General features: G+C 43.2%; 1 protein-coding gene, 1 non-coding gene and 1 pseudogene across 14 annotated transcripts in view; all 3 read right to left on the reverse strand.

The window, feature by feature from the left end:
- Window positions 1–2,207: 2,207 nt before the first annotated feature.
- Window positions 2,208–27,778, reverse strand: part of ASH1L (ASH1 like histone lysine methyltransferase) — a 227,935-nt gene continuing 202,364 nt past the window's right edge. For 12 of the 13 annotated variants that reach the window (XM_047425248.1, XM_017001785.2, XM_006711450.4 and 9 more), the window contains 16 exons: window positions 27,241–27,349; window positions 24,525–24,689; window positions 24,256–24,350; window positions 21,413–21,570; window positions 19,646–19,798; window positions 16,482–16,536; window positions 16,267–16,399; window positions 14,596–14,844; window positions 13,323–13,409; window positions 11,123–11,213; window positions 10,544–10,682; window positions 10,254–10,426; window positions 8,876–9,042; window positions 6,268–6,308; window positions 5,029–5,330; window positions 2,208–4,691 (listed from right to left, as the gene is read on the reverse strand). In XM_047425248.1, the coding sequence (XP_047281204.1) occupies window positions 4,600–4,691; window positions 5,029–5,330; window positions 6,268–6,308; window positions 8,876–9,042; window positions 10,254–10,426; window positions 10,544–10,682; window positions 11,123–11,213; window positions 13,323–13,409; window positions 14,596–14,844; window positions 16,267–16,399; window positions 16,482–16,536; window positions 19,646–19,798; window positions 21,413–21,570; window positions 24,256–24,350; window positions 24,525–24,689; window positions 27,241–27,349 (2,209 nt within the window). In that variant the 3' untranslated portion in view covers window positions 2,208–4,599. Of the gene's footprint in view, window positions 4,692–5,028; window positions 5,331–6,267; window positions 6,309–8,875; window positions 9,043–10,253; window positions 10,427–10,543; window positions 10,683–11,122; window positions 11,214–13,028; window positions 13,148–13,322; window positions 13,410–14,595; window positions 14,845–16,266; window positions 16,400–16,481; window positions 16,537–19,645; window positions 19,799–21,412; window positions 21,571–24,255; window positions 24,351–24,524; window positions 24,690–27,240; window positions 27,350–27,778 lie in introns of those variants that run through there. The other variant, XM_017001786.3, reaches the window with a different exon arrangement.
- On the reverse strand, window positions 13,290–13,385 carry MIR555 (microRNA 555). Its single transcript, NR_030282.1, has one exon. It is a non-coding gene; the product is annotated as a microRNA 555 (primary transcript).
- On the reverse strand, window positions 25,653–25,758 carry RNU6-106P (RNA, U6 small nuclear 106, pseudogene; annotated as a pseudogene).

Consider the following 27,778-nt stretch of genomic DNA (forward strand, 5'->3'; position numbering starts at 1 on the left):
GTTGTTGTTTTTTACGGAGTTTCGCTTTTGTTGCCCAGGCTGGAGTGCAATGGCAGGATCTTGGCTCACCGCAACCTCCGCCTCCCAGGTTCAAGCGATTCTCCTGCCTCGGCCTCGGGCATGTGCCACCACGCCCGGCTAATTTTTGTATTTTTCAGTAAAGACAGGGTTTCTCCATGTTGGCCAGGCTGGTCTTGAACTCTTGACCTCAGGTGACCCACCTGCCTCAGCCTCCCAAAGTGCTGGGATTACAGGCGTGAGCCACCGTGCCCGGCTTCCCAGCCTAAATGTTTAACTCATGTCTGGGACAAAGTTTTGGTAGGCCTTTCAGTTATCTGCAGGAATGGGTTTATCTTCCTTAATTAGTAGGGTCACTTTTGTCTATTTATGACACTTTTCTATTTGTGGAGGAGTACACAGACTTTGGAGTTCTGGCTCCAACACTAGTTACTGGGTGACCTTTGGCAAGTTACTTAACCTTCCTGAGCTTCAGTTTTCACTCTTACAAAATGGGAATAACTTCAGAGGACTATTATGAAGATTAACTATGTGATCTTGGGCAAGTTACTTAAATTGTCTTTTGCTTCAATTTCCTCATTTATAAAATTGGGATTTGGTACCTACCACAAAGGGCTTTTGTGAGGATTAATAAACAAATATATGGAAACTGTTTATGATAGAAATGGTCTAACACATAGTGGCCTAAAAAAACGTGGCCTAAAGTTATATATTGCCGGCCTCAGTGGTTGTTACTGAGAATTAATGAGATGATGATGCATGTGTGTGCAAAGGATGGAGATGTAGAATAGCATGGCATGGTTTTTTGTTTGTTTTTTTGAGACAGAGTTTCACTCTTGTTGCCCAGTTTGGAGTGCAGTGGCGCAATCTCGGCTCACTGCAACCTCTGCCTCTCGGGTTGAAGCGATTCTCCTGCCTCAGCCTCCGGAGTAGCTGGGATTACAGGCATCCACCATCACGCCCGGCTAATTTTTTGTATTTTTAGTAGAGACAGGGTTTCACCATGTTGGCCAAGCTGGTCTCGAACTCCTGACTTTAGGTGATCCGCCCGCATGGCATGTTTAAGAAATAGCTGGGGCTGGGTGCGGTGGCTCAGGCCTGTAATCGAAGCACTCTGGGAGGTGGAGGTGGGCGGATCATTTGTGGTCAGGAGTTTGAGACCAGCCTGGCCAACATGGTGAAACCCCTGTATCTACTAAAATACAAAAAAAATTAGCCAGGCATGGTGGCAGGCGCCTATAATCCCAGCTACTTGGGAGGCTGAGGCAGGAGAATCCCTTGAACCCGGGAGGCGGAGGTTGCAGTGAGACGAGGTTGCACCACTGCACGCCTGCCTGGGTGAGAGCGAGACTCCATCTCAAAAAAAAAAAAGAAAAAAAAAAAAAAGAAAAGAAAAGAAACAGCTGGGCCAGGCGTGGTGGCTCATGCCTGTAGTCCCAGAACTTTGGGAGGCTGAGTTGAGTGGATCACTTGAGCCCAGGAGTTTGAGACTAGCCTGGGCAACACAGGGAGATCCCTGTCTCTACAAAAAATAAAAACATTAGCCAGGCGTGGTGGTGCGCCCCTGTAGTCCTAGCAACTCAGGAGGCTGAGTTGGGAGGATTGCTTGAGCCCAGGAGGTTGAGGTTGCAGTGAGCTATAATGTGCCACTGCACTCTGGCCTGGGCAACACAGTGATGCCTTGTCTCAAAAACAAAAAAATTAAAAAAAACCCAACAAAACAGCTGGACTACGTTAGGCAACACGGTGAAACTCCGTCTGCACAAAAAGTGCAAGAATTGGCCAGGCATGGTGGTGCATGCCTGTAGTTCCAGCTATTTGGGAGGCTGAGGCAGAAGGATCATTTGAGTCTGGGATGTGGAGGTTGCAGTGAGCCGAGATTGTGCCATTGCACTCCAGTTTGGGTAACAGGGAGACTCTGTCTCAAACACAAAAAACAAAAAAGCAACTGGACATTTGGTGTGTGTTATTACTGTGCTGATTGATTAGGCTGAGTCCAGACTAGAAAGATCCTAGTACTGAAGAAATGACTTTATCCAGTAGTCAACGGCAGTGAGTGTGCTCATGTGCAGCCTAGCATGTTTATGATGTTGTTTCAGAAAGATCCCCTTGGAAACAGGATGAGGTTGTCTTGGAAGATAAATGGGGGATAAGAAGGAGGAAAAAATAGCAAGCTCATCAGTCCACAGTTAGGAAAAGTTTTTTCCATTTAATACTAGACTTTCAAGGATTGAGATGCAAGCTTTGTATGCAATTACATCCAATGTTAAAATTGGTAATACATAATTTACAAAGATTAACATCAAAACAATCATCTATTTAGATATGCTTTTGTAAAAAGGAAATATATTAGCAGCATTTATATTTTCCGCAATCACACAGCCTACAGACATGCAGACTAACTCTGTATCTATTTGCAGTGATGTAGTGCTTTGCCCCGCATTTCAAACACCAAAACCCGCCTGGCAGCTGGGGGGTTCTTTTTATTTCGTTATTATAAAATAACTGAAAAATAAAAAAAGGCATTAATTTCTACACCAGTAAGAAAAAACAAGTTTTTGCACTTACCTAACATTTGATTGTCTAAAAAACATTTCAGTTTTTTTTTAGTCTTTCAACAAAAGAAAGATAAAATGACAGAGCGTAGTGTCTTTTGCTTCTGTTCTCGCATTTTACAAAGTTTTTTTTTCTTTTTCATCTTTTTTAAAATTTTAGTGTTTAACACTATAAAGGAAACATTGAATTTTAATCTCTTTCTTGTCATTTTCTCGCTTTTGACTAAAAGGAGACCCCCAAAGTGCCCCTAGTCCCACCTCCCTCCCACCCACTCCCTGCAATGAAAAACAAAAGAAACCACTCAAACGGGCTTGGACATGCGATTTTTCCAGCTCCACATGTGAGTATCTTATACCCAGGTCTCTTAGTAATGTACAGTGCTTCTCTACAGTAAGAAAATACTCCAAACTATTTTCTTAATTCTCTTTTTTCTTTAATAAAATATTTATTTTGCTTTTTCTCTGCTCAAGGGGATCATTGGCATCCCCTCTCTCTTTTGTTTTTTCCTCAAGAATGACACAGAAAGGGGAAAAAGGAAAAAATATTTAATGGAATGGAAGGTGGTCAATGTGTCTACCTAAACGAGTCAGAGCATCGTCACCATAAGGGGAAATGTACAATTAGGACAGCATTGGTCCAATATTAGAAAAAAGTAATGGGGACATGTTTACTATTGTATTGCTTACCAATCACACAGCAGGTGTGTGTGTGTGTGTGTATATATATACACACACACATATATATATACACACACATACACACATATATATACACACACACACACAACTTGGCACATTTAAAAACCATCTTTTCTCTTATAAGAACATCTAAAACATATATGCATATGTATGTCTGAAAAGACAACAAAGCTTTTTAAATTTTATTTTTAAAGAGACAGTATAGTCTGTTAACTTCTGGTCAAGAGAGTAGGAAGGAAGGAGACACCCTGGATATACCTCCTGATGTCATTCAGGAGGGTGAGGGAAGATGGGCTAGGGGTGAAGAGAAATATACTGTCTCTTTAAGAAAGGGACATTGAAAACTGTACAATTAAGAAAACAAGAGTAGTGTTTTCAATTGATAATCTATACTCACAACAAATACTCTGATAGGTGAATACTGCTGAACAGTTTATGTAGTGACTTTTGTTGCAGGGGTGGGTTTAGAGTTCTTTTTATGTAGGTTTTTAAATGATTTTATTTTGAACTGAATCTCCATTTGCACAGCACAGCAGACACACAAGAACTACAGCGCATTAAAAACAGCATGTGTGCTGGCGGGGGCCTGGCTTTCTCATTAGAAAAAAATATGTTTGACAGGTTATGAAGGGTAAAACAAAAATAATTGCAAGAACTACCGTGCCCTTCTGACCCCATGGGGGCCTTCCCTATCCCATGATTCCATTTTGGGGAGTAGAGGTAGGGAGGGGGCAGCAGTTACAAGTGCTTTGAGCTGTCAACTCACATTTTACTTTGACCTGGTTGGGCAAGAAAGGAGAGACAAACTTCCCTAGTCAGGTATCTAGGAAGAAGCCTCAGCTACTGTTTCTGTTTAAGGTCTCTGGGGTAGCTCTTGGAGCCAACAGAGAATAGATGGGGTAGGAATAGGGATCCTGGCCCTATCCCTTTGGATTTTGAGTTATACCTGGGTATAGGAAGCAGCTTCTTCGCAATGCCTGTGGGATCTGAGGATGACAGAAAAACCTAAGCTGTGGGGTGGGGCAAATGCTATAAAGTACCAGTAGGTTCTGGTCATCAATGTGGTCCTCCCTCCTCTCTACATTATTAACCCTTAAGGTGAAGCAATGGAGAAGAAAATTAATTAACCTGAACTGTCTTGGACAGAACCCTTTCCTCTCCCTCTCCACTAGCTCCAAGGCTTATTAAGTACCTAATGTCAACAACATGGCCCCATTCCCCTTGCCCAGATGGACCCTTCCCACCCCTGTCTATACCCAGAGAGCAGGAGGCAGGACTGATTAGCTCCACTGGATCCCAGATGCTTGAGGTTCTCATTCTTTGAGGGTCACTTTCGAAAGCTGTTTTCTGGGATAAACAAAGTACGCCTTCGCAGTTTCCTGCCTGATCCTTCCTCCAGCAAGTAGGTCACATCAATGGCTGAAAACAGAACCAAGGAGGCTCATCAAAATACCAATCTCCTACTCCTTATTCCAGATTTGAGCTCTAAGGAGAGCACACGAACTCAATGATTCCTTTTCTGACCTATAAGCAATTTAGCCCATCCTCCAACCCTACGTGAAAAAGGTGGTTCTTTAGAGGAGATCATCTCACCTTCCAGTTTCACTACCAAGATACAACTAAAAGCAAGCCTATAAAAGAACTATACCATTTTCTTAGAATACTTTGGATGCTGAACCAGTAATTACAATTTTTTTCCATTCCCTCTCATTTCGCATTTATCTTAAACCCTAGATATGAACCTGATTCTTCTTACCATTTTTTCCAGGGATTTTTTCAAGGAGATTGAGCAAGATCTGGTTGAGTCGTTCCCGTTGGTTATGCCGTCGTTCCTCAGGGGTACAGGTTGACTGGGGTTCTTGACTACTTTCCTCTGTTTTTTTTTCACCCTCACTGACGTTAGCAGTGGCCCCTTCCCGTTCTGGCTCCTCCAGGCTGGGTATCTCATTGGCTGCTTGCTCTTGACTGGCTAGAACCTCTTCAATCAAGGGTAGAGCATCATCCTCCTGGCCCAAGTCTTTTAGGGGTGGCTTTGAGCGCTCAGACTTCCAGGATGATCTGCCAGAAGGATATCTGAATTTAGTGTAAGACACTTGAGGAGGAAAAGGGGATGAAGGGTAGGAGGCCTCAAGATGGCTTGAGATCCTGGAGTCCAGCAGTTAGAGCCTTAGCTTGAGGTAAGAAACTTGACTCTCGTTTTCACTTTATATTATTTGAATAAAACACTACCTTTACCAGAAATTTATTTGTAAAATTCAACTTTTATTATTTCTCTTAGGAATATTCACAAATGGTATAGGAATCCATAAAATATACAAGGGCTAATAAAATTGCTTAGCTGGTTCTAAATGACTGCTTCATGACTAGAGAAGCACGGCACAACCTTGTGATGCCAATAATCCAACTACAATAATAAATATTTAAATGGAGTTTTAAATTTTCGTGCTTCCCTTTTTCATATCAATAGTCTAATATTTTCTCCCTTATGGTAAGCTATTGGTGTAGGTAAAGCAGTTGTTATGCCCCCATTCAACAGATGAGGAGACTGAAGAAAAAGCCTTCTGTCATCTTTCTTCAGGAATAATCCTCACGTACAAAATAAGCAAAAATAAAAACTATGAACCCATAGTTCATAGCTCAGTGAAAACTGTACTGGCTACATCTGTTCCTTGATAGAGGTACCAAGAGCTGATATACCTTGAGGTAATGGGGAAAGCTTACAGACATCTAAAAGAAACTTTTCTGAGTCTGGAGTTCTGTTCCAAATCTCTGTCTCTACTCCCTGCACATCTCTCTGTTGCTCCAATTAAGGCTCCATAATGGGACCACATCTACTGAAATTTAGTTCTTCCATAGTGCTGGCACTACACTGGGCTACTCTGCAGAGAATACCCAGTCCTAGAAGTGGAGCTGAGTGGGTAGTTGTTTGTTTTCTTGATCCATTCAAGCTCTTAGTCAATCCCTTAGGATCCTCATATCCCCCCATGGGACTTACCGTCCTCCATTCCTCTTGTAGTTGTCTGGGACGTAATGAGGCTGCAGAGAAGAAAAGGAAGAGGTAAGCATATTGTAGAAGCTGGGAGAGCTAGCTCTTCTCTGGGGCCAGTCAGGATAAGGAACACAGTAGGGCAGTAGACAAGTTGGGTGACTTTGTTTTAAGATGAGAAATTTAGTACTTCTATGAATATGCAGGCCACAATGATTATCAGCATTTTGTGCTCCCAGGATGACAATGGGAGGGATAAGTGCACAATTTTCTCTATCCCATTTCACCTTTTAAATACAGTCATATGTCGCTTGGGGTCATACGGGGATATGTTCTGAGAAATATGTCATCACGTGATTTGATTGTTATGTAAACATCATAAAGCATCCTTACGCAAACCTAGATAGTATAGCCTACTATACACCTAGGCTATTTAGTATAGCCTATTGCTCCTAGGCTACAAGCCTATATATACAGCACAATACTGTACTGAATACTGTAGGCAGTTGTAATACCATGGTAAGTATTGTGTATCTAAACATAGAAAAGGTATTACATTGCAGTATGTTACGACAGCTATGACATCACTAGATGATAGGAAGGAATTCTTCAGCTCCATTATAATCTTACGGGATCACCGTTGTATATGCAGTCCAATGTTGACTGAAACATGTTGCACATGACTGTAGTTAAGGCTGGGGTTTCAAAGCTAGTCAGTAAGCTATTGATTGAGCAAGCAAAACCAAATAAGTCTAGATGCGAGGAAAGACCTGGTGGTGGGCAGAGAATACAAAAGACGGTCTGGAAAATTAAAAAAAAAAAATAGGGAAAATAGGAACATATTGCTTTGTTTTCTGGTTAGCTTATTTTTCTTTCTTTTTATTTTTTGAGAGTCTTGTCCTGTTGCCAGGCTGGAGTACAGTGGTGCGATCTTGGCTCACTGCAATCTCTGCCTCTGGGTTCAAGCGATTCTTCTGCCTCAGCCTCCTGAGTAACTGGGATTACAGGTGCATGCCACCATGCCCGGCTAATTTTTGTATTTTTAGTAGAGATGGGGTTTCACCATGTCGACCAGGCTGGTCTCAATCTCCTGACTTTGTGATCCACCCGCCTCAGCCTCCCAAAGTTCTGGGATTACAGGTGTGAGCCACCGCGCCTGGCCCTGGTTAGATTATTGCTAAGGATTCCAGGGTGACAGCTATGACTTTTGACAGGCCCACTAAAAGAAGACTCAAAGATGAGGAGCTCAGCCAGGGTTTTATTAGAGCAAACAGATGAATGGATGATCAAAATCTTTATGGAATGATGAATGACAAAACGTATAATTGGCACACGGTTCTCAACAATTTGAAAGAAAAAATACCAGGAAAAAGCCTGACAATGAAAATGTTAATAATGGTTATTTTCTGGATAGTGGAGTATATATATAACTTTTTTCCTCTTATGCTTCTATACTTAATTTTTTTTTTTTTTTTGAGACAGGGTCTCTGTCACTCAGGCTGGAGTGCAGTGGCACAATCAGCTTACTGTAACCTCAAACTCCTGGGCTCAAGTGATCCTCCTGTCTCAGCCTCCCAAGGTGCTGAGATTACACACGTGAGCCACCATGATGTTTATACAATAAACACCACCACCACAAATTTTGTTTTGTTGTTGTTGTTGTTTTGTTTTGAGATGGAGTCTCGCTCTGTCACCCAAGCTGGAGTGCAATGGCGCGATCTTGGCTCACTGCAATCTCTGCCTCCCAGGTTCAAGCGATTCTCCTGCCTCAGTCTCCTGAGTAGCTAGGATTACAGGTGCGCGCCACCACACCTGGCTAATTTTTGTATTTTTAGTAGAGACGGGGTTTCAATGTTCACAATTTTTTTTTTTTTTTGAGACGGAGTCTCGCTCTGTCACCCAGGCTGGAGTGCAGTGGCGTGATCTTGGCTCACTGCAAGCTCTGCCTCCTGGGTTCACGCTATTCTCCTGCCTCAGCCTCCCGAGTAGCTGGGACCACAGGCACCTGCCACCACACCTGGCTAATTTGTTGTATTTTTAGTAGAGAGGGGGTTTCACCGTGTTAGCCAGGATGGTCTTGATCTCCTGACCTCATGATCCGCCCACCTTGGCCTCCCAAAGTGCTGGGATTACAGGCGTGAGCCACCGCGCCTGGCTCACAAATTTTATATAATGATCGTGTCTTCCATTTTTAATGCAGGCATAAAAAGAAAAAGCACTGAATTATTTTCTGTGAAGGTTCTTCTTTTACGGGTGTGTTCTCAATGAGAGAGAGGAAAAAAAGGAGTTTTTCAGGGTTCTTGCTTCTTAAAATTATGGGTGTGAAAGACAAAACAAAACAAAAATCTACAGAATGGGGCTCGCCAGCAAAGGTTAAACAGACGAAAGAGAAAAGAGGAAAGGTATAACACTATATCAACAATTTTCTGAGATACAGTCTATGTGAGGAAATGTACTTATGCTGTTCAAATGTCCCAAATAGAGACAGAGATATCCATAGTTTGGGATGGAATTTGGATGAAGAAGCAGAGAACTACGTGAAGATTTTCGCTCAGTGAATTTCATGCATGAACCAGATTGTCCTAACATGTAGTGTTAAGAAAGGAAGGAGACTCACCGAGAAATCTTTTTTGGGAGTGAGCTTCTTGGGGAAGTGATCAAAAGCATAGGGTTTGGTGCAGACAGGATAGCGGTTCCGGTGGATCTTGTAAAACAGGTGTGCTGACTTGTCAAGCCGATAATCACAGATGTACACATCTTGCTCCTTTACTCCTTTGGGTCTCCCTATGGGTCCAACCAGTGTTAAGGAATCCTATTTAGCCATTTCTCCCCCTGAGCTGCCCAAAGACCCCATACACACCAATGGGAGAGCAGCTAGACCCTTAAAACCCTACATGGTAGCTATGTAGAGAGGCAGGACAACTAAGCATTTGGTAGTTGCTGGACAAAGAGTTCTCAGACACTAGTGTCAACAAAGGATAAAGTAAATATACAGCAGAATGGATGGAAATAAACCAGAAATGTAAACTGAGTGCTGCAGGGATGTGTGAGGGAGTATTTTGAGGGAAAAACTGAGCAGGTTACGAGGAGTTACAAGAAAAGAACAGAGGCATAAATTTGAGGGAAGCACATTTGTACATGAACACTTTTTAACTGAGACAAGGAGGACTCATCAGTATCACACAGAACTGCAAGCAGTCTGTCAGTTTTGGAATGGAATACGTAGTCTTTTAGACTATTTTGCTATGATTCTGAGAGAACAGTCTAGGCAACTGAACTCTGCTAATAGTGACAAATAACATATATTGAGCTTTTACTCTAAGCCATAAACTAGGCTGAGTGCTTTTGTAGATTATTTTATATAATCTTTTAAGAACTCTTTAAAATAGATAGTCCTTATTTTCAATGGGAAACTGATACTTAGATTAAGTAAATTCCACAAAGGAACATAGATAAAATGTGGTAGAGCTGGAATTTGAAATTAGTACACAGTATTAACAAAATTAACTAAATTTAATAAAAAAGAATAAACTTTTATTGAGTACTAAGCCCTAGGTAAAAGAAAGGAAAAAATATAGTAGAGCTCTCTGAAGTTTCATAGCTAGCCTTGGAGAATCTTTCATCATATACAGGCAATCATATACAGGCAACAAGAATGGGGTGGGCAATGAACAGGAGACATGAGGTCATTGAAGTCTTTTTTTTTTTTTTGAGGCAGGGTTTCATTCTGTTGCACAGGTTGGAGTGCAGTGGTGCGATCTTGGCTCACTGCAACCTCTGCCTCCCAGGCTCAGCAATCCTCCCAGTAGTTGGGACTACAGGCCTACACTGCCATGCCCAGCTACAGAGGCAGAGTTTTGCCACGTTGGCCAGGCTGGTCTCACACTCCTGGGCTTAAGCAATCTGCCTGCCTCGGCCTCCCACACCGCTGGGATTATCAGCGTGAGCCACTGCACTTGGCCGAGGTCATTTTTTAACTAGCCCAGATCACTTACCTTTACAATACGTATAAAGGTCCAACACACAGCAGGTCCCCACTACAGCCTCCAAGGGAATGATCTCATAGAGTGGCACCCGAAATAGTTCATTATGATAGAACCGACGGGATGGAGAGTGGTGTGTTTCGTGGGGACGGAAATAATGGTGACCAAAGGCAAACCGTTCCTCTCTAAAACAATGGAAAAGTGAGAAGGGAGAGGTTTAGCTGATTAGCAAGATCCTAGTGAACATTCAGCTCCACTGGTACAGCACGGCTGGAAGAAAAGGACAGGACCTCAGCACGTACTTTTCATTCTTCCAAAGCTTCTCAATGCGAAAGATGTCAAGTTTATCTCGGTTAATGTGAGATAACAGTCGATAGGACTGACGGACCGGGTGGCCATCAGGGGTGCGCCGACTATCCCTCATCAGATACACACAGTCACCTAGGAAGACCCAGAACACAGAAGAAACATAAAACAATTCTTGTATGAATTCTGTTAGGCATCTGTTTATCTGACTCAGGGTCTACATAGAACTCATAATCTGAAACAGTATAAATACAGAGAGCTAAAAGCAGCAGTGTTAAGTGATGATAATCAATTCTAGACTATGACAATAATATAAGGGAGGCATTCCATTTCTTGAGCTTCCTATATGTTTTTCCCAGTCTTAAAATTAGCTTTGTAACATGTCTATCATTTCAAATTAGTATTATTTGGTGGAGAGGTGATGCATGTAAGCACAAGGACTACAGATATAAAAACTTATATTCTATTGCTATTCGAGGCCGTATGGAGACAATGACTATGATGGAGACAGCAGAGACTTCCTACTATTCAGAAAGGTCACCTCTGACAAGTAGGATTAGCTCCTGTATACATACCCTGACGAAGCAGCAAGTCATCTCGGAGCAAACAGATGAAGTAGACACAGCCAGGTTGGGCATAGTGGGGCCGAGGGATCATGGGAACCTCCTGATAGGAGCAGAAAGCCAATGTATAAGGGCTGGAATTACTACATTCAGCCTACTTATTTCTCAACCTAGAATTCTCAATCAAAACTTACTGTTTAGTCATTTCAATATACCACAGATATACAAAAAAGATGAAAGCAACTAGAGCTGTTAAACCTGGAAAAGTGAAGGTAGAGGACAAAACTGATAGGCTAAGTATCTCAATCTATGTTTTATGAAGCACTAATTGTGTAGTTGCTCTACGTAATCTAGGGGCCATATGAAAATGTGTGAAGGGAGACTAATTATTACAATGATTGGGGTATGCTACTGGTATTTAATGCCCAGGGTCCAAGGAAGCCAAACATTCTGAAATGCATCCCTCACAACAAGAACTATTCACCTAAACATGACAACAGCAACATTGTTAAGAAATACTGCCTAAATCTCTTCTTTTTTTAAAAATGACTTGCCCAAAATCACACATATAAAGATAGCAGAGCCAAGCACAGAACCCACTTAATGACTTAGGCAAGCCACTTACCCTCTCTCCTATGAAGTGAGCCTAACACTAACCTTTGCTGATTCTGAGTCCAGTGCTCTTTTCACTTAAACCACTGTCTAACATAAATGACGTTAAGGGTACCAAGTTCTGGATTTTGTAAGCTATTCCTTTCATGGACATCTGATAGTGTTTATAAAAACCTCAGTTTTGTTTTTTTTTGAAATGGAGTCTCGCTCTGTTGGCAGGCTGGGGTGCAGTGGTGCGATCTCGACCCACTGCAACTTCCGCCTCCAGATTCAAGTGAATTCTCCTGCCTTAGCCTCCCGAGTAGCTGGGACTACAGGCACGCAACACCACGCCCAGCTAATTTTTGTATTTTTAGTAGAGACGGGGTTTCACCATGTTAGCCAGGATGGTCTTTTTTTTTTTTTTTTTTTTTTTGGAGACTGAGTCTCACTCCGTCACCCGGGCTAGAGTGCAGTGGCGTGATCTTGGCTCATTGCAACCTCTGCCGCCCAGGTTCAAGTGATTCCCCTGCCTCAGACTCCCAAGTAGATGGGATTACAGGCGCCTGCCACTGCACCCGGCTAATTTTTTTTGCAGTTTTTAGTAGAGATGGGGTTTCACCATATTGGCCAGGCTGGTCTTGAACTCCTAACCCCATGATCCACCCGCCTTAGCCTCTCAAAATGCTGGGATTGCAGCCGTGAGCCACTGCGCCCGGCCGAGGATGGTCTTTATCTCTTGACCTTGTGATCTGCCCGCCTCGGCCTCCCAAAGTGCTGGGATTATAGGTGTGAGCCACCATGCCCAGCTTTTTTTTTTTTTTTTTTTTTGAGACAGTGTCTTGCTCTGTTGCCCAGGCTAGAATGCAGTGATGCGATCTTGGCTCACTGCAACCTCTGCCTCCTGGGTTCAAGTGATTTGCCTGCCTCAGACTCCTGAGTAGCTGGGATTACAGGCACCTGCCACTGTGCCTGGCTAAGTTTTGAATTTTTAGTAGAGACAGGGTTTCACCATCTTGGCCAGGCTGGTCTCAAACTCCTGACCTCATGATCCACTGCACCCGGCCTTTTTTTTTTTTTTTTTCTAAGAGATGGGGTCTTGCTCTGTCGCCCAGGCTGGAGTGCACTGGCATGATCTTGGCTTACTGCAACATCTGCCTCCCGGGTTCTAGCAGTTCTCTTGCCTCAGCCACCCAAGTACCTGAGACTTCAGGTGCACGCCTCCATGCCCGGCTAATTTTTTTTGTATTTTAGTAGAGATGGGGTTTCACCGTGTTGCCCAGGCTGGTCTCGAACTCCTGAGCTCAGGCAATCCATCCGCCTTAGCCTCCCAGTGTGCTAGGATTACAGGCATGAGCGACCGTGCCCGGCCAAAAACCTTAGTTTTATATAGTGCCATTCCTTCCACAGATTTCTAAGTATTTTATTTTCCCTTTGGTCATACTCCTGAAATAGGGAAGAACAGAATTATGACCCTTAATGTAAAGTTTAAGAAACCAAGGCCCAGAGAGGCTGAACAACCTATTAAAGGAAATTCTGCAAAGCAGGAGCAGGACAGGTGAGATACCATGTGCTACCTCTCCTACTTATAGATCAGAGTTTTATCAGAGGTTCAGCTTACCCTGTCCACAGGCCTTGGGTCACACTGCTCACAAAGGTAGTGCTCCACATCTGAGTTCACTCCCATACAATCACAGTGCTGCCATACCTGTAGAAAAACATACAGTTTGGGGAACATGGAGGCTATGACTTATTGAGAGTGTCCTGGGAGCCCAGAATAAAAAATTAGCAATAGGTCAGGGTAAAGTAAAAGAGGAACTAAGGGATAACTGGGTGAATGATAAATTAGAGATAAATGGTAAAATAGGAGGAAAACAAAATAATGACTGTTCTAAGCAAAAGTATACCGATTGACTCATAATCTATAGATCTGGGCAAATAAAATGGGGAGATGGACAGAGAATAGGAAAACAAATAGACTACTGAACTATTACTAAGTAATTTAAGTAAATGCTACAGCTATTCTGCTTTCAGAATACAGCTACAAAATGTTTTATTTACTCCTGTCTAACTTTAGCCTCCCAACAATCCTGTGCGTTACTTACAGCCACTTTACACATAAAGTTATGCATTCACATATATTAGTGGGGACACTAAGGCTCAAATCCAGGCTTTGACTTCTTCATCAGGAGCCCTACATGTATTAACATATTTCACTCTATCAGAGGATTCAATTAATAGAGTGTATTATCACTAATGATTCAAAAGGCAAAGCACTATATGAAATACTGTCATTTTCCTTGATCCAGATTATGTGAGAAGTGTACAGTGGAAAGTGGGCAGAAAGAAGGAAAGAGCCAGGCGTGGTGGCTCATGCCTGTAATCCCAACGCTCTGGGAGGCCGAGGTGGGCAGATCACTTGAGCTCAGGAGTTCAAGACCAGCCTGGGCAACATGGTGACACCCCATCTCTACAAAAAGTACAAAAAATTAGCCGGGCATGGTGGCACGTGGCACATGCCTATAATCCCAGCTACTCGAGAGGCTGAGGTGGGAGGATTGCTTGAGCCTGGGAGGCAGAGGTTGCAGAGAGCTGAGATCGTGCCACCACACTCCAGTGTGGATGACAGAGCAAGATCCTATCTTATAAACAAAACAAAACAAAAAAACAAGAAGAGAGGAGAGAAGGAAAGAAAAAGAAGGGAAGGATAAAGTGAAAGAAAGATAAAAGGAGAAAGGCAATATAGTAAACACAGAAACCTAACAGAAACCAAGGCTAAGTTACAGTTCATAAACAGTCTTTCAAGCCAATCCAAAAGAGGCATGGGCTTCTTCTTTGAATATGGTCACCGTGTTCATCAGGACCAAGCTTCTGCTTCATTTCCTGACCCTCACCATGCACTTGTCACACTGGATCATGAGACCTTCATCCTTGTAGAGGCCACAGATACAGCGAATAACATCGTCGTCCTTCTCATGCCCATTCTCCTTTTCAGAGACTGAGGTCTCACTGCTGTCTGCCTCACTTGCTGTCTCTCCCACAATCTCATCAATCTGGGCTGATGCCTCATGCCGGGCATTGTAATAGGCCTTTCGTAGACGACAAACATCTCTCCCAACTGGGGATTTACGCCCATAGTACTTCTGAAGAAAGCAAATAAAGAAATCATGTTTGGTTCTCTCAATGTGGCTTAACAATTTACCTAAAGAGGTAGCAAGGTAGCATGACTTTCTTTACCCTCCCATTTTGGTTAACAGATTTTCAATAGTATCAAATATATGGCCAGATAGTTGGTAACAACTTAAACTGAACTAAAATGAATTCAAGTTAGAATCTGCATGTTATTTTTCCATTTGCTCAACTGATCTGTCATTCAATTCCTGTCACGGGCCTTCTTGTCCCCAGATCAAATACACAGAGATCATGAAATATGAATTGATATCACAAGCATAATGTACTGTAGAAGTTCAACATACACCTTTGTCTTGTGGATATCTGTGACAGATCTACAGGTGTTGAATCTATGTGGAAGCTGGGTTTCAGTAGGAAGAATGTTACAATTTAAGATTGCTCTAACTCTTCTCCCGCTTGTCTATTTTTCTTTCTCATTTTGTCTTTCAACTTCTATTATTCCTTTATCTAGTAGGATCTTTTGTCTTCCAAACACCTCTCCAAGGCATGTCAAAATTACTGAATAATTTCCTCTCTTCTATGCACCATACAATAGTCCATCCTGTCCTTTAAATCAGTTCAAGGCCACTTTCTCTCCAATGAGCTTCAGCTATTCCATAATCTATCACTGTGATACTCCTCAATTCCATCCTCAAGATATATTACTGGCCAGGAGCCGTGGCTCACGCCTGTAATCCCAACACTCTGGGAGGCCAAGGCAGGCAGATCACCTGAGGTCAGGAGTTCAAGACCAGCCTGGCCAACATGGTGAAACCCTGTCTCTACTAAAAATACAAAATTAGCCAGGCATGGTGGCAGGCGCCTATAATCCCAGCTACTCAGGAGGCTGAGGCAGGAGAATCGCTTGAACCCGGGAGGTGGAGGTTGCAGTGAGCTGAGATCACGCTATTGCGCTCCAGCCTGGGTGACAGAGCAAGATTCTGTCTCATTTAAAAAAAAAAAAAAAATATATATATATACACACACACACACACACACACACACACACACACATATAAACATTTACCTATGCATATTTCTGTATATTTCACATGTACTTATTTTCTTGAGGAAAGAAACTACAGATATTAGTTAAATGTATTAAAATATCTATATAACGCAGTCATAAAGGTTTAATACTAAATTAGTTTTTTACAAAAATTATTTTTTTGGGGGGGAATGATTTAACCTTCCATTCTAGTCCTATCAATGTCTTCATAGATAGCCTTCTATAATATTTAGTATACTGTAACACATACCCCAAGGATACTCAAAAATGACTGGCTTTTCCAACCAGAAATATGGCTGATAGAGGAGGGTAAAAATCTTAAACTTCTAGACTAATTCTTTTCAGAACAAACTTGTGAAATCTGTTTGAAGTCAGTGAAAAATACCTCAGCATTCCGAAAGACTTTGAGCATGTCAGCATCAAAAGCTTCCACTGTCTTATAGTAACCAGTGAGGATCTGCTTCTCTATGGTGATAAGATCTAGGGGATCAGAGATCTTCTCATAATAATCAGCATTCCTGGAACACAAAGCCAGGGTGTCAATCTGGCACACTTAGCACTTTTTAAAAACTCAGATGATTCCCACAAATGTGAACCTACTTTTTCTTTGGGGGAAGGTTCAAAAGTGGAGCTGCCAGTGCTTGCCGGGAAGAATCTGCAAAAGAATGTGAGGTTTAGTAGAAAGATTCCACCATACAAGGGAGGCAAGCATCTCCTAACTGGAAGAATAGAATCCCTCAAATTAAAAGTGAGAGAAAAATCCAAGTCTTTTTTTTTTTTTTTTTTTTTTTTTGAGACAGAGTCTCACTCTTGTCGCCCAGGCTGGTGTGCAATGGCATGATCTCAGCTCACTGCAACCTCCACCTCCTGAGTTCAAGCGATTCTCCTGCCTCAGCCTCCCGAGCAGCTGGGACTACAGGCGTGTACCACCACGCCAAGCTACTTTTTTTTTTTTTTTTTTTTTTGAGACAAGAGTTTCGCTCTGTTGCCCAGGCTGGAGTGCAGTGGCGTGATCTTTGCTCACTGCAAGCTCCACCTCCCGGGTTCATGCCATTCTCCTGCCTCAGCCTCCCGAGTAGCTGGGACTACAGGTACCCGCCACCATGCCCGGCTAATTTTTTGTATTTTTAGTAGAGACGAGGTTTCACCATGTTAGCCAGGCTGGTCTCGATCTGACCTCGTGATCTGCCCGCCTCAGCCTCCCAAAGTGCTGGGATTACAGGCGTGAGCCACCGTGTCCGGCCAATTTTTGTATTTTTAATAGAGACAGGGTTTCACCATGTTGGCCAGGATAGTCTCGAACTCCTGACCCTCAGGTGATTCACCTGCCTCGGCCTCCCAAAGTGCTGGGATTACAGGCATGAGCCACTGCGCCTGGCCAAAAATCCAAGTCTTTTTAAGGCCTGTGAAAAAGCCACTTTTTCAGATATGTAGATAAAGGCAGGGATCAAATGACAATTCTAAGATTGTCTAGGATATGAAAGATATAGTTGCATCTGCTTGAAAGGTAGCACAATGTTAGTTGGGTAATGAGAAGAACTTCCTGTGAAGAATGAGAGATGGGAACTTATTGAGGGTAATCTGCTTAGGGCAAATTACTACTCAACAAATCTTATAATAGCAAAAAGAATATCTTATCCAAAAAGTGCTTTCTAGTTCTCATTAACTGCCCTTAATTAATAGTAATTTGTTTGGCTGGGAATGGGTGCGGTGGCTCACACCTGTAATCCCAGCACTTTGAGAGGTCAAGGCGGGCAGATCATGAGGTCAGGAGATCAAGACCATCCTGGCTAACATGGGGAAACTCCATCTCTGCTATAAATAAAAAAATTAGCCGGGCGTGGTGGCATGCACCTGTAGTCCCAGCTACTCGGCAGGCTGAGGCAGGAGAGTTGCTTGAAGCCGGGAGGCGGAGGTTGCAGTGAACAGAGATTGTGCCACTGCACTCCAGCCTGGGCGACAGAACAGGACTCCGTCCTAAAAAAAAAAAGAAAAAGAAAAAGAAAAAAAAAAAGACCGGGCGCGATGGCACACGCCTATAATCCCAGCACTTTGGGAGGCTGAGGTGGGCAGATCACGAGGTCAAGAGATTGAGACCATCCTGGCCAACATGGTGAAACCCTGTCTCTACTAAAAACACACACACACACAAAATTAGCTGGCCGTGGTGGCACACGCCTGCAATCCCAGCTACTTGGGAGGCTGAGGCAGGAGAATTGCTTGAACCTGGGAGGCAGAGGTTGCAGTGAGCCAAGATTGTGCCACTGCACTCCAGCCTGGGCAACAGAATGAGACTCTGTCTCAAAAAAAAAAAAAAAATTAGTTTGGCGGGGCACAGTGGCTCACGCCTGTAATCCCAGCACTTTGGGAGGCTGAGGTGGGCAGAGAACTTGAGGTCAGGAGTTCGAAAACGGCTTGGCTAACATGTTGAAACCCCGTCTCACTACCAAAAAATACAAAATTTAGCTGGGCATAGTGGCGCACACCTGGAGTCCCAGCTACTCAGGAGGCTGAGGTGGGAGAATCATCTGAACCCTTGAGGCGGAGGATGTGGTGAGCCAAGATTGCACCACTGAACTCCAACCTGGGCGACAGACTGAGACCCTGTCTAAAACAATAAAAATAAAGGCCGGGCATGCTGGCTCACGCCTGTAATCCCATCACTTTGGGAGGCCGAGGCAGGTGGATCACGAGGTCAGGAGTTCAAGACCAGCCTGGCCAATATGGTGAAACACTGTCTCTACTAAAAAATACAAAACTTAGGCAGGTGTGGTGGTGTGCGCCTGTAGTCCCAGCTACTCAAGAAGGCTGAGGCAGGAGAATCGCTGGAACCCAGGAGGTGGAGGTTGCAGTGAGCCGAGATCATGCCACTGCACTCCAGCCTGCGTGACAGAGTGAGACTTTGTCTCAAAAAAAAAAAAGTAAAATAAAATAAATAAATAAATAAATTAATTACTATTACTCTGTTGGGTATGGATCCAATTAAATTCCAGATATTGAATAATTTAGTACTGTACTGTGAATATTTTCTGTAATTGATTTTTCCTGTAACAGTTACTCTGTATTATGAAAATGGAATTTACGGTGAGGGGCCACTTCTCATTTGCTACCATACTTAATTTCTGGCAATTTCACTAGCAGAGTAAAAGAGCCCGTGTTTCATGCTCAGAATGCAGTGACATGGTAGACATACTTACTGCAGTTTCATGTTCGGTGAGATGAGCCTACTTGAGAATGCAAGACAGACATGGTGGCTCATGCTTATAATCCCAGAACTTTGGGAGGTCGAGGCAGAAGGATCGCTTGAGGCCAGGAGTTCAAGACCAGCCTGGGCAACATAGCGAGACCTCCATCTCAAAAAAAAAAAAAAAAAAAAAAAAGACAGAATGCAGAGAGTGTGATTTATTTTGGGAATGTAAATGGAATAGGTGCCTCAAAATTCAAAACTTTACATCTTACATCTTAGGGCAGTTTGGTCCCCATTTTTCTCTTTATATCCTTAGGTTAAGAAAACTGCAAAAAGCCACTATAATATCAAAGATAATCAGGAGACAGAAAAAGAAATGAAAAAGAAAAGAAATGCCCACGAGCAGTAGCTCATACCTGTAATCCCAGCACTTTGGGAGGCCTAGACAGAAGGATCACTTGAGCCCAGGAGTCTGAGACTAGCCTGGGCAATATAGCAAGACCCTATCTCTATTTATTTAAAAAAAAAAGAAAAAGAAAAAGAAAAAAAGAACGAATTTGAAGGTGGTTATAGTCACCTTTATAAGAGATGATACCATCACAAATTTCTTTGAAGATCTGGGCTAGGCGGGCTGCCCGAGCCACTTCAATATTTTCCTCTGCAGCTGCCAACCGTCTTGTTCGAACAGATCGAGCTGTCTGCAGGGCAGAGAACTGGGTCATGAAGACATCTGGAAAAATAAAGTGAAAATTAAGTTACAGGAAACAAGGAGCTCTACATGTCTTTCTCTTTCCCAATGGATTCCTGCCATTTGCTCTATTTTCCCCTGAAGTGATTAGGTAGATTAGTGGGCACAGAGTTCTTTCTATCTTCTGTAATGAAAAATCAGGAAACACTGGAATTTACTGGAGACAAAATGCTGCAAGAGGGACCTTAGCTTAGTGCTCAAATGCAATACAGTATAGCAGTTGTAAGTCTGGGCTTCAAAATGAATCTATCAGCATCTGAATTCTGGTGTCACTGCTTATTAGTTGTGTGATCTTGGGCAAGTTATTTAACCCATGGGTCAGCTTCTCAAACATAAAATGAGAACAATGGTAGTACTTCCCTCATAAGGAAATAATGCAGGTTAAATGAGATAATGCTTTTAATGTGTTTTGCTCAGTGCCTGACATGTAAGCACTCTGTAAATGATATCTGTTATTATTAGAAGAAGTAAACTAGTTAGGATATAACTTCAAAGAATTTATGCCAATCAAATCATTGACAGGATGTAAGATTATGGGCAAATTTTTAAATCTATCTAGTTAGCATTCAGCATATCCCTCACACATCACATAGAATTGCTTCTACCTTTTGAGGGGAAGAAGGAAAGGATTAAAAAAAAGAGCATGATCTTTTGAACACTCTGTTTTCAGTTAGAAAGGATGCTTGGACATGCTAGTTCCTCTGCTTTCAGTCTCTTCTGGATAATATCTGAACTCAGGAGTGCTGTTATTGAAGGTTACAGAAAGGAAATCTGATGGTTTGTGAGTACAGTGCTAATCTGAATGTGAGAAAAAAAGGTCTTCAAACTGATAATGACCCGTCCCCCACTGAATCTGAATGTGAGAAATGACCCGTCCCCAGCTGAATCTGAATGTGAGATAAAAAGGTCTTCAAACTGATAATGACCTGTCCACCCACTGATAATTACCCGTCCCCCACCCCAATTTCCCCAGTGGATTTGGTATCACTATTTACTCTGTCTGCAAGTTATTTTCAAGGTAGGAAGTAACAAAGAGGGCCCACTATCTATCTGATACCTAATGACTATTTCAGACTACAGGTCATGTTTGAAAGGCTGTAGGAGGTTTCTTTCTATTCCCTAAAGAGAGGAAAGCTGAAGAACTGGGATGGATAGGTTATTACTGACTGATGTGTACATATTTGGATCATAACTTTTTTGGTCAATACTAAAAGGAGTTGTTAAATAGATTATCTGCTGGAAAGCAACTAAAATAAATTAATAGAAATTCGGCTGAGTGTGGTGGCTTACGCCTGTAATCCCAACACTTTGGGAGGCCAAGGCAGGCGAATCACCTTGATTCCAAGGCAGGAGGTCAGGAGTTCGAGACCAGCCTGGCCAACATGGCAAAACCCCCTCTCTACTAAAAATACAAAAATTAGCCGGGCATGGTGGCGGGCGCCTGTAATCCCAGCTACTCAGGAGGCTGAGGCAGGATAATTGCTTGAACCCAGGAGGCAGAGGTTGCAGTGAGCCTAGATCATGCCATTGCACTCCAGTCTGGGCAACAAGAGTGAAACTCTGTCTCAAAAAAAAGAAATGTTTCAAATGCCTTACCAGACTTGATATTCCCATCATCTCGGCAGATCCCATTCCAACGGGTATATAATGATGCTGAGTGAATATTATCACTGGTGTGCTTTACTTCCTCCTGTTTTTGACGAATCTTCTCCCAGTTTCGGACCAAGAATACATGATGCTTTAACACAAAGTTCCTGCAAGGAAGGAAAAAAAATCTTCCTTTATTCATTAATTAAATAAGCATGTATTACATGTCTACTCTATGGAAGCCATTGTTAGACGATATACGTGAATTGAGCTGTTGTAAAGAGAATTATATGGGCAAAGCATTACTCAATTTTGTATCTTCAATTTTTTTACATTACATAAAACACATAATATTTACATACATCTGGCAAACAACAATTAAAGGCTGCAAAAATGCTGGCAAGTGAAACAGCCTGACCAGAAGGCAGAGATTTATTTGTACAAATTCTAAATATAGTTGTCAAGATGAAGTAGGGTCTCAGGATCAGCTATAACAAGGAGAACTGGACTGGCAAATGAAGGCAAAGACACGTAAGATGGATACGCACTGGGCAAACTATGTTAGGTGCAGTGCTGCCATATGGTTCCCTAAACTTACTACTTTTTTTTTGAGTCGACGTCTCCCTCTGTTGCCTAGGCTGGAGTACAGTGGCATGATCTCAGCTCACTGCAACCTCTGCTTCCCGGGTTCAAGCGATTCTCTCAGCCTCCTGAATAGCTGGGGTTATAGGTGCCTGCCACCACGCCCAGCTAATTTTTGTATTTTTAGTAGAGACGGGGTTTCCCCATGTTGGCCAGGCTGGTCTTGAACTCCTGACATCAGGTGATCCACCCGCCTTGGCCTCCCAAAGTGCTGGGATTACAGTGGTGGCGTGAGCCACCGTGCCTGGCCCTGGTTCCCTAAACTTAAATGAATTATGTGTATCTTGACTGATCCTATACAATTTTGATGATTCCATTATTCAATTTCCACAACAGGACATATGTAAATAGATGTGATCTTGGATAAATCTCAAGGTATGGGTCTCACTTCTCACTTAAATGAAGATTAGACTAATTTTCTAGTTCCTGCACATTGGAATCCCCTGGGAGACTTTAAAAACTACTGATACCTGGGTTCTACCTCTGCAAATTCTCATTTAAGTGGTCTAGGGTGTGGCCTGGGCCTTGGGAGTTTTTCAAAGTTCCCCATGCTAATAGGCAGCCAAAGTAGAGAACCACTGGACTGGTTTTTCCGAAATTTAAAATTTCTACAACTCAAAGGGAAATAGAATGAAAGGGGCTAAAATTACACAATGGTTATAAATAAAGATAAACTTTCAACAAATAGGACATACTCACTTGTTTGCTTCTGAAAGAGACAATTCTTATCTGAATACAGGGAACAGCAGAAATTACCACTAAAGATCCTTTCTATTGCTCTGTTAATATGTCAACAAAGCAGGTATTCTGTTTTTTTTTTTTTTTGCTTTTTGTTTTTTTTTGTTTTTTGAGACGGAGTTTTGCTCTTGCTGCCCAGGCTAGAGTGCAATGGCGTGATCTTGGTTCACTGCAACCTCCACCTCCTGGGTTCAAGCAATTCTCCTGCCTCAGCCTCCTGAGTAGCTGAGATGACAGGCATGCACCACCATGCCTGGCTAATTTTGTATTTTTAGTAGAGACAGGGTTTCTCCATGTTGGCCAGGCTGGCCTCAAACTCCCGACCTCAGGTGATCCGCCTGCCTTGGCCTCCCAAAGTGGTAGGATTACAGGTGTGAGCCACTGCGCCCTGCCAAAGCAGGTATTCTTAATTTTTTCTCTACTGCGGACTCCTTTGACAGTCTGATGAAGCCTATGGAACCATTCTCTGAACAATTATTTTTAAATTACTTCAAAAAATTTAAATTATTGGCCAGGTGTGGAGGCTCACGCCTGTAATCCCAGCACTTGGGGAGGCTGAGGCAGGTGGATCACAAGGTCAGGAGATCGAGACCATCCTGGCTAACATGGTGAAACCCTGTCTCTACTAAAAAGTATAAAAAATTAGCCAGGCGTGGTGGCACGTGCCTGTAGTCCCAGCTACTCGGGAGGCTGAGGCAGGAGAATGGTGTGAACCCAGGAGGCGGAGCTTGCAGTGAGCCGAGATTGCACCACTGCACTACTGCACTCCAGCCTGGGCGACACAGCGAGACTCCGTCTCAAAAAAAAAAAAAAAACAACAAAAAACCAAGGTCTTTCCATGTTGCCGAAGATGGTCTTGAATTCCTGGGCTCAAGTAATTTTCCTGCCTCAGCCTCCTGAGTAGATGGGTCTACAGGGATATGTGGAAATGTTATTTCATTTAGAAATTAGGGAACATAAGATGGTTTGGTGTGCTGGCTCGTATCTGTAATCCCAATGCCTTGGGAGATCGGGGCAGGAGGATAGCTTGAGCCCAGGAGTTTAGGACCAACCTGGGCAACATAGTGAGACCTTGTCTCTACAAAAAATTTAAAAAAAAAAAATTAGCCAGGTGTGGTGGCATGTGCCTGCAGCCCCAGCTACTTGGGAGGATGATGCAGGGGGATCACTTAAGCCCAGGAGTTGAGCCAGGCCTCTGTATTCCAGCCTGGGTGACAGAGTAAGATCCCAGCTCTACACACACACACACACACACACACACACACACACACACACAAAAGGGTAAGACTTAAAAAAAAAAAAAAAAAAAAAAAAAAGATTGTATTTCTTCCATCCAGGTTCATAGATCCCCTGAACCCTTTGGCTTAAGACAAAAGAAAGTGGATCAACAATATAGAAGTTTCATAATTTTTTACACAGATAAGCAATCATGTAACTTACAAAGAACATGGATAAGGATATTTCCTTTTTACCTTTCACGATTGGACATTGGCTTCATCTGTAATTGGGGGGTCAATCTAGTTGGGGTGTTGATATTTTCACTGGGTTCCTCAGAGAGATGGCCTCTCTGAAAAAGAGATGGATCAGATTAGAGATTTAAAAAAATATCAGTCAGAAATAATCTCCAAGAATATTAAAACCACTCTTAAGATGCCACCCTCTGGTAATTCCCTTATTCCAGCAATTGCCTCAAAGCATCTCATGAACAGCTTTTGGGGAAAGTCATTAGATAATTATTCACCCTTTTCTTCAGCTTGTGCTTAGACTTTCTCTTCTCTTTTGACCGTCCAGATTTTTTGTGTGTGGCCATGGGCTGGCTGTTTTTGCTGCTGGTGAGTCCATTCACACGCTGACTCTTGCCTCCGATGATTCCTCGACATTTCTCAAAGCCACACTTACAAAGTTGCTTTGAAGGGAGAGAATAATTTTTTTATTTTTATTTTTTTAAGGCAGGGTCTTTCCTGTCACTCAGGCTGAAGTACAATAGTATGATCATGGCTCACTGCAGTCTCAACCTCCTGGGCTCAACTGATCCTCCTATCTCAGCCTCCCCAGTAGCTGACATTACAGGTGCGTGCCACTATGCCAGGCTAATTTTTGTATTTTGTGTAGAGACAGGGTTTCGCCATGTTGACCAGGCTGGTCTCGAACTCCAGGGCTCGAGCAACTCTCCCACCTTGGCCTCCCAAAGTGCTGGGATTACAGGTGTGAGCCACTGTGACCAGCTGAGAATAATTTTTTTTTAGCTTGCAGTCTCATTTACTAGCTTAAAGAGGATTCCTGAGCATTTGGACACACATTAAGTATAAATCAAGAAATTTGCATATAGGGGAAAACAACTGATTGAGAGTATAAATAGAAATGGGTTTCCACTGGAATAGAAATGATGGATTAAATTTTAGGAAAACTTCTTCCCCAGAAAAGTTAACTGAGTGGAGACCAAAAATCACAGGGCAATCTCTTTCTTCAAAGTAATTGGGCACTATGTATCTCAGAAAGGTGGAGTACAGAGTAAAAAACTGTCCTCTCCTATATACTTCTTTAAAAAAAAATTTTAAAAAGGCCAGGCATGGTGGCTCATGCCTGTAATCCAGCACTTTGGGAGGCCAAGGCGGGCGGATCACAAGGTCAGCAGATCGAGACCATCCTGGCTAACATGGTAAAACCCAGTCTCTACTAAAAAAAATACAAAAAATTAGCTGGGTGTGGTGACAGGCACCTGTAGTCCCAGCTACTCGGTAGGCTGAGGCAGGAGAATGGCGTGAACCTGGGAGGCGGAGCTTGCAGCAAGCCGAGATCACGCCACTGCACTCTAGCCTGGGAGACAGAGTGAGACTCCACCTCAAAAAAAAATTAATAAAAAAAAAAAAAAACATGAAATGCTTCAGTAATCTGTTTGTCATCCTTGCACAGGGGCCATGCTAATCTTCTCTGTATCATTCCAATTTTAGTATATATGCTGTCAAAGCAAGCACTTAATTAAAAAATTTGGCTGGGCATGGTGGCTCAGGTCTGTAGTCCCAGCACTGTGGGAGGCTGAGGTGGGAGGATCGCTTAAGTCCAGGAGTCTGTGACCAGCCCTGACAAAAGAGGGAGACCCCATCTCTACAAAAAATTTAAAAAAAAATTAGCGACGCACAGTGGTACACGCCTGCGGTCCCAGCTACTCAGAAGGTTATGGTGGGAAGATTGCTTAAGCCCAGGAGATTAAGGCTGCAGTGAGCCATGATCACATCACTGCATTCTAGTGTGGGCCACAGAACGAGATCCTGTCTTAATAACAAAAAACTTTAAACATTTTAGAGAAGGGGTCCCGTTCTGTGGCCCAGGTTGGCCTTGAACTCCTGGGCTCAAGTGATACTCCTGTCTCAGCCTCTTGAGTATGTGGGACTGTAGGTAGGTATGCACTACTGTGCCCAGGCTCCCATGTACTTCTTTTCTCCCTTTTTTCTTTTTTTGAGCTGAAGTCTCGCTCTGTCGCCCAGGATGGAGTGCATTGGCGCGATCTCTGCAACCTCCACCTCCTGGGTTCAAGCGATTCTCCTGCCTCAGCCTCCTGAGTAGCTGGGACTACAAGCATGTAACACCATGCCCAGCTGATTTTTGTATTTTTAGTAGAGAGAGGGTTTCACTATATTGGTCAGGCTAATCTCGAACTCCCGACCTTGTGATCTGCCTGCCTTGGCCTCCCAAAGTGCCGGGATTACAGGCGCGAGCCACCATGCCCAGACTTTTTCTTTTTTTGTGTTTGAGACAGGGTCTTGCTCTGTTCCACAGGCTGCAGTGCATTGGCGTGGTCCTGGCTCACTGCAACCTCCACCTCCCGGGCTCAAGCAATCTTCCCACCTCAGCCTCCCAAGTAGCTGGGACCACAGGCACATGCGACCACACTTGGCTAGTTTTTGCATTTTTTTGGTAGAGACAGGGTTGCACCATGTTACCCAGGCGGGTCTTGAACTCCCAGACTACAAGTAATCCGCTTGCCTCAGCCTCACAAAGTGCTGGGATTACAGGAATAAGCCATTGCGCCTGACCTCCCATATACTTTTTTTTTTTTTGAGACAGAGTCAGTCTTGCTTTGTCGCCCAGGCTGGAGCACAGTGGTGCAATCTCGGCTCAACGTAACGCAACCTCCGCCTCCAAGGTTGAAGCAATTCTCCTGCCTTAGCCTCCAATAAACTGGGATTACAGGTGCGCGCCACCACATCCAGCTAATCTTTGTATTTTTGATAGACAGGGTTTTGTCATGTTGGCCAGGCTGGTCTTGAAATTCTGAGCTCAAGTGATCTGCCCACATCAGCCTCACAAAGTGCTGGGATTAAAGGTGTGAACCACTGTGTCCAGCCTCCCACATACTTCTTAATGGCTCCAAGTCAATCATGTTTACAGAAAGCTCATGTTATTACAGCATTGTAAGGGATAAAGTTCAATCTCCCTCTAGGATTTATTATTCTTACCTGTTTTTCCACATTGAAGGAATGAAAGTTATAATCATAAGTGAGTTCAGTCCCAGCTGGCATGTCTTTAAGAGCATAGAGTCCAATCCGGTATACTCCATTAACAGACCTGTAAAGAGAGAAAACAGAGTTATAAAGGCTGGAAATTTTTTTTTTTTTTTGAGACGGAGTCTCCCTCTGTTGCCTAGGCTGGAGTGCAGTGGTGCGATCTTGGCTCACCGCAACCTCCGCTTCCCGGATTCAAGCGATTCTCCTGCCTCAGCCTCCTGAGTAGCTGGGACTACAGGTGTAAGCCACCACGCCTGGCTAATTTTTGTATTTTTAGTAGAGATGGGGTTTCACCATGTTGGCCAGGCTGGTCTTGAACTCCTGACCTCAGGTGATCTGCCCGCCTCGGCCTCCCAAGTGCTAGAATTATAGGTATGAGCCACCACGCCTGGCCTCCACTTTTAATCTCTTTTCTATCCTTGGCAGCCTGTATAATACTGCCAGAGTAAGAATCCTAAATAATTTTTCTTGAAAACATGTTCTATGTTGT

The sequence above is a fragment of the Homo sapiens genome, chromosome 1 (genome assembly GCF_000001405.40).
Source record: "Homo sapiens chromosome 1, GRCh38.p14 Primary Assembly".
Taxonomy (NCBI): domain Eukaryota; kingdom Metazoa; phylum Chordata; class Mammalia; order Primates; family Hominidae; genus Homo; species Homo sapiens.